General features: G+C 35.0%; 1 protein-coding gene across 33 annotated transcripts in view; it reads right to left on the reverse strand.

Annotated features, from left to right (window-relative positions):
• The window catches only part of NOL4 (nucleolar protein 4), a 373,814-nt gene that overhangs the window by 167,568 nt on the left and 193,969 nt on the right, over positions 1-12,277 (reverse strand). For 30 of the 33 annotated variants that reach the window (XR_935261.4, XM_047437902.1, XM_047437901.1 and 27 more), the window contains one exon: positions 651-934. Coding sequence is in view for 32 of the 33 variants with exons in the window: in XM_047437902.1 (XP_047293858.1) it covers positions 651-934 (284 nt within the window). In the remaining variant the exon portion in view is untranslated. Of the gene's footprint in view, positions 1-650; positions 935-4,772; positions 4,985-12,277 lie in introns of those variants that run through there. The other 3 variants (NM_001384473.1, NM_001353233.1, XM_047437903.1) reach the window with 2 other exon arrangements.

Here is a 12,277-nt window from a genome sequence, read left to right on the forward strand (position 1 = left end):
AAAAGTCAGCTGGGAATGGGAGAGGGTTGTACTTTATTCTAATATTAATATAAAGAATCTAAACATTTAGATATGTCTGAAATATGTTTTTGTCTTTTGTATGATATAATTTATGATAAATCATTTCTTAAAATAATTAATCCACAAACTTCATCCAGGACCCTCACACTTAACAGTTATTTAGTGTCCACAAAGAAAATTACTGATCAAAGTCCCCAGGTCTCCAAAGCAAACTGAAGAATTTAATTGAAACTTTATCTTTACTTACACCTATCCATCTAGGAGAAACTAGATAGTGATCCTTTTATAGTAGAAAATTGTGTACCGAGACTGAAACTGTCACATCTGAGCTCAACAAATTCCCAGAGAGATTCATACAAATAGATTATATACATGAGAAACATTAACTCAAGTGATTCTCCGGATCTAAAAACACCCACAGCTTTGAGACACGATTCATTTTGCTATTATTCCTGAAATCATATGTTATAAACACACAATATGCTTGGTGATAAGTTTCTTGGTATCCTCTTATTGGATTTGTTTATAATATTTTTATTAACAATAATGTTTATCTGCTATATGCATAGGTATTTTTTGTGACCTTCATGACCAACTCAAAAATTCTGGAAATTGTAATGTGATCATACCTTGCTTCCATTTTCTCTCGCCTCTCGTTCCATCTTGAGGTCAGAAATTAGAAGATTCTTATACTTGTTTTTCCCATTACTGTTGTGATCATCTATTCTGTATTCCGAAGTTAGCTGCGCAGAGAGGGGACTGTCACTCAGGTTCAGTGGCTGTTCATCTTGCTCCAGCCCAGTTTTGCCATCACTGTTGGAGTCTCCCATCTCCCTGCTGTGTGTTCCCCCTGAAGCAATTGAACTGTGCCCCAGAGTCTCATTGCCATTAAAGCTCTCTGCAGCAGAATCATCTGTTGGAAAGGAAAAGTTATATTTTGATTTTAATTAATATGCTATTCAGAGTCTACTTCAACTAGCATTTATTGAGCTCCCATTATATGAATGGCATTTTACATACAATATGTAATTCATCCTCAGCAATAAGCTTGTAAAGCAGTTATTGTTATTTTTAATCTAGTAGGCACATGATAAGGTTTGAATGTTTTGTCCTCACTAAATCTCACATTAAAATGTGACCTCCAATGTCCATAGTGGGGTCTAGTGGCAGGTGTTTGGGTCATGAGGGTGGATTTTTCATGAATGGCTTGGTGCCATCCCCATGGTAATGAGTGAGTTCTTGCTCTGGGAGTTCATAGGAGAGCTAGTTGTTTAAAAAGAGCCTGGCACCTCTTCTCTCTCTCTCTTGCTCCCTCTCTCACCATGAGACAAACTGGCTCCCCTACATCTTCCACCATGATTATAAGCTTCCAGAAGCCCTCACCAGGAGTAGATGCTGGCACTATGCTTCATGTACAGTCTGCAGGGCTGTAACCCAAATAATCCTTTTTTCTTTATAAATTACCCAGTCTCAGGTATTCCTTTATAGCAACGCAAATGGGCTAACACAGCACATTTAGGCACAATAAGTGAAATAAAACAGGAAGAAGAAAACAGAATTGAGAGAACAGTTCAATCTCAAATGCAATCTCAAAGAAAAAAAAACAAAGAGAATTAAATAACTACCAATTATTTTGCAAATTGTTTTTGTTTTTCCAGTGAGAATATCTAGATTTGGTAAAAATTCTCTGATAAAAAGCATCATTTATCCTGCTGGTGGAATGTGCATCAGTATTAGCTGAATGACTGTTTAAGATGCATCTAAAGCATTAAAAGTCCTCATAAACTTTGTTCCAGTCATTACACTTCTGGGAGTTTAATACCTAAGAAGTTTAATCATTGTGTGTATCTCTTTGTAGGTAAACATTTATACCAGTGTTGTTCATAATAGCAAAAAATTAGAAATGACCTAAATTACCACAAATAGATTATTTAAATAAATGTTGAAATTGTTAGATTATTATGTAGTTATTCAATATTGCATTTTAAGATATGGGGATGTGAGTCATGAAGTACTAAACACAAAAATCTAGCTACAAAAGAGTGTGGTTGGTATGATCCCAATTTTGTTAAAAAAAAACACATAGACAAAGATTACATGAAATAACATTCTATTTTTCTTAATTTTATCTTATATGATAAAAATTTGCTACTGATTTTTAAAAATTATGATGGAAAAGGTATTAAATTGTTTCATTTAGTTAAAAGCTAGTAGTGAAATCATATAAATATGGCTGAGCAAAAGAAATATTATTCAATACTTGTGATTTTTAATTTTCTGAATGTTATCAAGTATGTTTTTTTGAGGGATGTAATGAAATAGTTAATGTTTTCTAATCAATTACATTCATGGGAATTATATTCAAATTCTGAAAGAGTGATATAACTCACATGTTCCTTCATTTATTCACTAACATTTGTTAAGTGCTTACTCTGACCAATATGGGGTTAAGTATTTGGCCTGTAAAGACTCTGTCTTCAACAAGGTCACAGATAATTAAGAGAGACAGAAAAACAAACATGCTATTAAAATGCAGAGCAAGAAGGCTGTGATCTAATACAAGGGATAAAGACATCATAGAAGGCTTCCTAAAGAAGGTGATATGAGTTGAATTCTCAAAGGTGAGTGAGCCTTAACCAGGTGGAGAAGTTGGGGAAGAGCATTCTCTATAGAGGGATCAGCACGTGCAAAGTCACAGAGGTCAGCATATGCAGGGCAAGTGAGAAGTAAGAGTAGTCTGGAGTGCAAGAAAAGAGAATGGGAAAAGATAAACAGAAGAAAAAAAGAGAATACCAAGAAAAGCATTTTGTTTATCAAAGAACTTGGATTTTATTCTGGGAGCAAATAACAGTTTTAATTTATTGTGGGAAGTGACATGGAAAAAGTTATATTTCAAATAGACTATTCTGACTCTGATGAGGAGAATGGTATGAAGGGGCAAAATGGAAGTTGGGGAGACCAGTTAAGAGATTTAGAAGTCATCTAATTTGGCATATTTAAAAGCTCAAACTTCTGAAGCAGTGGCAATGCAGAAAAAGAGGAGACAATTAGAAAAATCGTGAGAATAGAACTGGTACGACTAGTAGTAATGGAATAGGCAAGAGTCTAAGATGAAGCCAGATCTGTAGTAAAAAATTAAAAAACAGGCTGGGCGCGGTGGCTCATGCACTTTGGGAGGCCGAGGTGGGTGGATCACCTGAGGTCAGGAGTTTGAGACCAGCCTGGCCAACATGGTGAAACCCCCGTCTCTACTTAAAATACAAAAATTCGCCGGGCATGGTGGCATGTGCCTGTAATCTCAGCTACTCGGGAGGCTGAGGCAGGAGAATCGCTTGAACCTGGGAGGCAGAGGTTGCAGTGAGCTGAAATCGCGCCATTGCACTCCAGCCTGGGCAACAAGAGCGAAACTGCATCTCAAAAAAAATAAATAAATAAATAAAATAAAATAAAAAATATAAAAACAAAGCACATTAGGTTTAAGTTTAATTTGTAATGAAATAATATTATTTCACGCCTGGCCTGAAATAATATTTTTAAACAGTTTTCTAAGACTACCCTGTGAAAAATGTTAAAATATGTTCAAATGGCAAAATTCTAGTAAATTACTTTTTATGTACCCATCAAAGAAAGAATTGATGTGGAAAGAAAAAATACATAGGAAAATTTAGGAAACTGGCCATAAATAATATGACATTTTTTATTACATGGTACTTTCCATAGGTATTAATCCAGGGATTCAAAATATTATTTTAACATGAAATGTCTAGGGTTTCTGAAATGCAGAATTAAGGGGATGACTTATATAAGTAATTTAGATAAATGTGTGCATGTTCTTTTTATGCCAATTCAAATTCTTACGCTAAATTATGAAGATGATTTTTATTACTTTATTATTTCCCACAAAAGTCCAAAGAAGAGCACAATGAAAATATTCAACTCCAATTTTTAATTCATGAAAAAAAGTGATTTAACATTTGTGTTCTAGAATCCTTTAAAAAATATAGTAACATTTAATGTATGAAAGCTTTGTCAATATGTTATTAGGTTAAATAACCCTAAGTATATATTATATTTTAAAATAAAATCTACGTTAGCATAAGACAAATCCAATATCTATCTTGGTTAAAAACTAAACATCCTACATCTGTTTCTTCAATCTGAAATCATTATGTATATCTAATAAATGGTATATCATTCATTTATTTTTCAGGTAAGGTAAACATTATTATTTGTCAGGAAAGGCTTTAATAAGTGCCTTGTTTTTATATCAATAAAAAGTATAAACAATAAGGTAGAAAATATTTTTAGATGGAGTAGTTCACTCCAGATGTTACCAAGGTAACTAAATTCAACAGCGTTACATATTTCATTCCTGAGTAAATCAGTATGTTTTAAGAAAAACAAATACATGATTTACTCATTTGTATCAAATATACATACTCACATATTTTGCAATTTAAATGGTAAAAAACAATAATGTCTCACAACACTGTCCTATAAATCCAAATTTAAAACAAAGTTTTTGATGTCTTTATTTTAAAAATACCATATAGAACAGTAAGCAGATATTAAACTGAGGACAAATTAAGAATTTTCTATTGCTGAGTTTCATGTAATCATGTTAACCATTTTTATTCTCTTTCCCTCTCTCCCTAAAAGATACTTTTTAAGAATTTAAAATCGCGGATCTCAGACTCCTGTAACCAATTCATATCAGGTCATCACTTTAAAGGGGTAATCTGCTTCCTTACCCAACATAGTTTGGTCCATCCTGAGTAGCTGCTACACAGAAGGTGCAGTATTTAGGTCTGTGGGTATGGCCTTCAGGTTCACTGGGCCAAGGCGGTGGTTCTTCTCTCAAGGTTTCAGCCTGGGTACCATAGCATTTGAACCAAAGACTCTGTATATGAGTCCCAAGGAAAACAGCACCTGGAGCTTTGGAAAATAAGAGTGCCCAGGGTACCTAGCAACAGAGGAGAATGTGGAATGTGATGACAAGGAAGTGTGGAATCTAGTGACATCAGGAGGGCAGTTGGACGTCGGGAGTTAACTTGTTCTGTGGCTACTTTTGATGGGATGGATTTAGTGTTGGAGAATTATTGTGCTATCTCTGCGAGCACAGATGAGACTCCTTCTTGTCTAGAAGGTCTAGTAACACAGTAAATGGCAGATTATTCATTTTATTGTTTCTCTTTTGCTACTCCCCATTCCCTCCATGAATTAGTAGAGACCCTAGAAATACTGTTAAGTTATCCCACCAGCATTTTGTAGAAAAGTGGTTTCATCAGCATCATATTCAACAATTAGCTCTCTCTGTATGAAGAGAATTGGCCTAAAATATTATGTTAATGTATATGTGTACCTGTGTGTGTATTTAAGTGTGTGTGTGTATATGTAATCTCCCAAAGTACCTGACCTACTTTCTTATTCAGTTACTTTCAGTAGCTCAGCATCATGTCCTTTAGGCCAAGTGCCTTAGGCAAAATAAACAGGAAAAAAAAAAAAAATATATATATATATATATATAAAATCCTCATTTTAACATTAGTACTTGGAAATTTAGTCCCAAAATTCAGGTCAGATGCTCACAGGGTCCACAAAGATTTTATTGTTTTCCCCAAATTCACCACAATTTTCCTCCTCTAGTCCTTTGATGCCCCCCTTAGAAAACTTCTCTTTCATATCTTACCGTAAAACTAAGTATTAGGTCCAAAATATAGATGTAAATAGCCTTGCTGAAAAGATTAGTACCTTCATATCCAAAAAAGAAAAAAAATTAAAAATTCCTTTGAAATCTAATTGCAAAATAGTTTAAGTGCAACTCTCCTTTACCCCTTGTGGTCTCTGCTCTGTCTTTTCCCAGGCTCAAAACAAAACAAACAACAACAACAACAACAAAGGAAGCTTATCTATCACTAGGCCATACCTTAAATCTTACACCATAACTGCCTTTACTCTGCAACACAAAGCAGGTAATGTAGGCTGAATGAATCCTTGGTAGCACTTTCCAGCACAGTATACTGGAATACTATACTGGAATAATATACATAGTATATTTCGAATAATAGATGTGTATTAGTAGTTCTCAAACTTTAATTGCTTTGGAATTTCCTGGGGGAGATGATTAAAAATATGTATCTGTAGGATCCATGTGGGCACTAAAACCTCTAACACAATAAAGGCTAGAAATCTTGGTTTAATTTATTTTGGTTGAGGTCAGGGAATCTAGAAGCATTTCTCATATAAGTGCTTAGGAGCCATATGTGAGAAATTAATGTAGATGATATCCAACAACTACCCAGTAGAATACGCAATTAAAGGAGGCAACTGTGGATAGCAACAGAACTAAAGATGACTAACAGCCCTCAATTCTGGGTTCAGTAAGGCTGAATCTGAGGATATTTTAATCTCATTTTATAAAAATCTGGAAAAATTTCAGAAAAAGAAGCCAAAAGCCAAATATTCTTTCCCTTTATCAAAACTAATAAACAAAAATACTTACTGCCAGAATGGTCCCATTTTTTAAAAAGACTCATGAAAGGATATGATCTTGCCCAAAGAATTAAAGGTAAATGTGTAACTAAGGAGCTATAAACCTTATCTGGGGGAAAAGGATAAACTTAATTACCTTGGTTAACAAACCCCTGGAAGAAAAGGCCTTTACCTGGGTCAAGTGTATGTTTGGAAAATCAAGAATCTTTACTCCCCTTCTAAAGTAGAGCTGCCTATCATATAAGCATTCACATGTGCTGAAGTCACTATCAGTTTTGCTCACATAGCAGGTAAAGAGTATCACCCTGGGAAGAATTGTCAAAACCATCAAAGTGTGTCCTCTGGGTCCTGCATGTTCTCTTTCCCCTCTTGATCACTAATTCTCCAGCTATTTGTGTGCACACTGGCTCTATGTATGTCATTTTACTGAGTAATGGATTGACAGATTGATTGATTGATTATCCTTTATCTGAAATTCCCTCACAGAAAAATGTTACTTCAACTAGGCAGTTGTAATTTAAACCTTTTATCTCTAATTGCAGAATGAAAGGCTTTTTCTCTTGGTATTTTCAGCCATTAGCAAGCAGGTGAAGTGTATTGTGTTTTGGGAGTTTGTGCGGAGAGAGAAACCCTGTGATCATACTAGACCTGTTAAGTACCCATGTTTTTAAAGTAACTTAGAGGTGAATGATTAGAATGTATACTCCTTTAGGTATTCTCCTAAACTCTCCTACCCCTGCCCTTCAACAGTTCTTCTCCCTATGGTAATGGGTGAGCCAGGACTACTCATTGATGTAGCTGAATTTCTTATTGCCAATATTCTGAGACAGCAAGAAGCCTGAGCTATGAACCTCTTCCTGGATTTACAGAACAAATACATCCTAAAATAATTATTCTGTAAGGATCCACAATACCTGCTCCTTTATCTAACACAATGGTCATTGGCTGTTTTGTTCTCAAATCTGTTCTCCTTCTATTGCAAATTTTATTTCCTAGGTTTTCTTGCCTAGTGCCTTATGACTGGGTTTAGACAATGAGAGACACTGGAAGAGATGGATAATTGGACAAAGAGAGAATGCCTGGTTATGCCCTCCTCCCTCCCCATGCACACACCCTCTCTGGTTCAGGCAGTCTCTCCATCTCCAGCATGGGGAGTATATCCTCTATGCCCTAGTTCCTGCTAAGAAGCCTCTTTTGTGAATCTGATTCCCATGTAGGAGCTCTGGGCTTGAGCTCTAGTAATATCAGCTATTCCCTGGCCCTTCCACTGCTAGCTATGGGAGCCGCCTCTTTCTGTTATCAATTCCAGAGTTGCTTCACTAACCCCTGCTTGGCTTTTTAGCTCTTCAAACACCACTGTAAATAGTGCCTAGTGTTAAATTTTCCTAATGGATGTCATGGAATGGGCTCCATTTTCCAGATGGATCCCAATCCCAACTGATATAATTTCTTTTCCTTTAGCCTCAAGACTTTTGTCTAAAAACTTTGATATTATTATAAACGATATTTTGTAATTTTTTAAATAATATAAATTCATTATTTGATATACAAGATAATTTCACCCAGTTCCCTTTACTGTTTCTCTCTCTTGCATTGAAATTAATTACCGTCAGTAACAGTGGTATTAAGGGAGTTTATCGACATCTTAAAGAATGAAAAATCAATAAAAGTTTTGTTGACAAACATAGTATTAGAAACTGGTTTCCTAATTCCAAAATAAACTTCCATCTAAATTCTACTAGTATATCTCAGCAGGAAACACATGTTTGGGTATTCTGAGGAGAGGAGCCTGAAAAAGACAGATGCTATGTTATGTAGGGGAAGAAAATGAATTAATTTTAGATTTATGAGGAATTAATGGCAACACTAGCACTTAATGACATGTGTCGCATTCTACATTCTTTTCTCTATGTTATATTGTCTCTCAGTGAAGGCAGGCTTTAGAAAGAGTTGGATTATAGAAATAGTAGAATATAAAGAAAGTAAACTCAGCAGCAAAGAACAGAGAGGAGGATAGAGAGGAGAAAGATGATGAGAGAAAGGTGATGATGACGGTGGTTTGGAACAAGCTCAGTAGTAGGGAGCTCTCATGTGGGTTGGAGAATAGGTATTTGGTAAAGGGTGTTGGGGTCAGGAATCATGGGATTAGCAATAAATATCCTGGGAATTATCAAAAATTAAGTGATAATTGTTGGGGGTTAATGTCTGGAGGTACTGAAGTAGGAGAAACAACCCTCCAAGGAGAACACCTCTTCCTCTGAGGAGCAAATCAACTAAATTACAAATAGGTGGAGGACAGGGGCTAGGCTTTTCTTCACTGCTGTATGCCTTGAAGCCAGCATTATGCTTTGTGTATAGTAGATATTCAGCAAATGCATAAAGCTATAAATTAATGACTCTAAACCACCTTTATTCTATTTTCTAAACTCATGATTTTCATAGCCCAAAACTTTTATATTGTATTATACACTAATTTTTTCATGGATGTAAGTCATATTTTCCCAAATGGTCATAGGTAGTGAGGACCTTACTTTAACAGTTCTTTGTGTAAAGCAGTACATACAGCAAATCGCCAAATGAAAATATAATTTTAAAAAATCAACAGAAGAAGAGAAAACATTTTGTTTTTGTGGATATTTTATTTTTGTCATAGTAAGAGGATAGCCAAGAAGTAATGTCAGACTGATTTGAGGAAAAAAACACAACTAAGAATAGAAAGGATTCCCAGATAATGAGTATCCTTTTTATAGTAGTGGTATATATATTCATTTTCATTTAAACTGTTTCTGTCAGAATAAAACATTGAGTTCTCATCAAATCAAAATTTAAAAATCTGTCTTGGATGACCATTAGGAAAAACTAATCTAAGTTACTGTACTAACTGTATCAATTTAAACTCTTTGAATAATGCCAAATTAAGAGCTCTCACAATGTGATTACTACTAATTAATCAAGAGCTGGTCATAGTACCCCCCCAACCCCATTCCATGTTTTATGCTGCTACACCAATGTCACATAAGCATGGCCATCTATAAAATCTTTCCTTGGATAAAGCGCAGTAGATTCTATTTTGAAAATCCTTGTTTCTTTACTTAAGCCAAACAGGGAACATTTACTGAGCTTTGCAGCACCTGATTCAGAGTGTTCACTGCTGATGGCACATTTCCAGGATCCTTATTTAGTGGTTATCCATGCAACTAAACTAAACAGAACAATGAATTACATTGAATATATCATTTGGTTGTACACATCTCATTTCTATGCTCCCTTCTAGTACAAATCAACATGCCAACAGCCTACTGCATTGATAGCCACACAACTAGCCCAGGCTGAAACTGCCAAGGCAGGCGCCTGACCAAAGGGCAATGAAACCACAAGTCAAACCCACAGCCAATGCAGCCAGACCGGAAAAATGAATTAGGCCAAAGGATTTCATCTCTTGGAATTTGAACTAACACTTTCTTCTTAAGGGCCAATGACCACATCAAAACCACCAGTGAATTTAGAAATACAGAATCAGAGACTTTATCCCAGACCTACTAAATCAGAATCTGCATTTTAACCAGACTCCCAGAAGATTCATTTGCATGGTAAAATTTGAAAAGTTGAAACCACTAACTTCGTTAGTAGCTGCAGCAGAAGTAAAAGTGGTAGGGGAGCATTGAGCTGGAGAAGTTACAGGGGTCCATGATGAATACAAAACTATTTCAATATTCCAATTTTTGAAGAGTATTATATTCTCTCTTTGATTACCAAAGAGTATATGTCTATATCCCTTTTTCCTTTGTCCCTTCCTCCTTTCCTTCCTTTTTCCATCCTTCTATTGAGCAATTTACTTAGAATCTCTTGAGCCAAATTCATCAGAGAAAGCCAAGTAGGGAGACACGTAGAAACAGAAAAGATAAGGGAACTGTGTAGGGTCTACCTCACACAGTCTTGGTGTACAGTTATTCTCTCAGTACAATTACTAATCATGCCCCCCTTTGGATCTCAAATATATCCTGGTTTAGACAATAAACTATATGATATCTCAGTATGAAACTCAGTGAGGTTTATTTATGGCCTAGCTGTTCTGCACATTCTAGTCTTGGGTCCCTTAAATCACTGTCTCCCTTATTGGGACACATCATTCTTAAAAAAATTGACACCCTTGTGCCCTGATTTTTTGAAGTAGCCCACACACATAAAAATTTTACTATTTAATTAGTAGATACTAGGTGCCACTAAAGAGTAATTAAAAATGATACTGGGGTACTAATTTATCAATCCTCAAAGCAAGCCCAGGTTACCTAATGTCACAGGGGCATATCCTTGGCTCCTGATTGAATGGCTTTCTCCAGATGATCTATGTGCCAAAGCCCACTTAACACTCAGGAGCAGCTGACTCCATAATCTGTGGCCTTTTCTCTCCACCATGTACCTTTCCAGGCTATGAGCTTATGTCTCCCAATTCTCTGGTGATACTGCGAACACCTGCCATGCGAGGAAACCATGCCATACATGAACATCTCTGAGGGCACAGAAACTTTCTGTTTATTGGATACTATGCTCTGTATCTCTAGTTTTCTGATAAAATGTTTAGACGCTTTGTAGTGTGGATTGAGCATTATTTTCTAGATAATACAAAGCCAAGAGGTGAGATTTTAAAAATTCTATTCAAATAATTTTTCTTTAAAGTACTATTTTATACAACCAACACAACATAATAACCAATTTTCAATAATAAATATAGTGACAAAAATCTAAAATAAAGTAGTAAATTAAACCAGGAAAAAGTTCCACAAATTTTCACATACAAATCACTTCAGCTATTACTTACAAATGTTATTAAGTAGTGGGAAATGTACTATAATTCAGTGATTCTGTGCTTCAGAAAATAAACTGTTTCTTCATTTATATAATGAGTCCTATCTCAAAGTCAAAGTAAAGTAATGATCTAAATAAAATTCCACTTTGATTATATTTTTGGGCTTCTAGAAAAAGGAGCAATGCCTATTATATTTGATATTCTTAATAATTTTCAAAAGCCATAAATGTTAATCTCTACTCATTTTTAAAGGATACATGCAAAGAAACTGCATCCTAAGACAGAGCATAACTAGGTTAAATATTCAAAGAATCCTGAATTCAAATTCTTATTTCTTTTGCTTATTTTTTCTTCTGGGGGTATGGAGAGGAAACAGGGTCATGCATATAGTGGGACAAAAGGCCTAATCTTCACCACATAGCAAGGGCTCAAGAGATTCTAAGTAAATTCCTCAATAGAAGGATGGAAGAAAGGAAGGAAAGGAGGAAGGGACAAAGGAAAAGGGATATAGGCATATACTCTTTGGTAATCAAAGTGAGAATATAATAATCTTCAAAAATTGGAATATTGAAATTGTTTTGTATTTGTTGATAGGAGAGACATGTGTTAATGGATACAAAATTACAGCTAGATAGGAGAAATAAGTTCCAGTTTTCTGTACCACTTTGGATTACTGTAGTTAATAATAATATATAGTTTCAAATAATAGCTAGAAGGAGCATATTGAATGTTCTCAACACCAAGAAATAATAAATGCTTTAGGTAATGGATATACTAATTACTCTGATCTACTCTACATATACTATATATGTAAAAACATCACTGTGTACCCCGTAAATAAGTGCAATTATTATTTGTCAATTAAAAATAAAATTTAAAAAGATGATTATTTACTCTATTGCTTAAATTGATAAAGTTTTTCAGATATAAAAATCAAAATATGTAAAAAAATAGAAG

This window comes from Homo sapiens, chromosome 18 (assembly GCF_000001405.40).
Source record: "Homo sapiens chromosome 18, GRCh38.p14 Primary Assembly".
Classification (NCBI taxonomy): domain Eukaryota; kingdom Metazoa; phylum Chordata; class Mammalia; order Primates; family Hominidae; genus Homo; species Homo sapiens.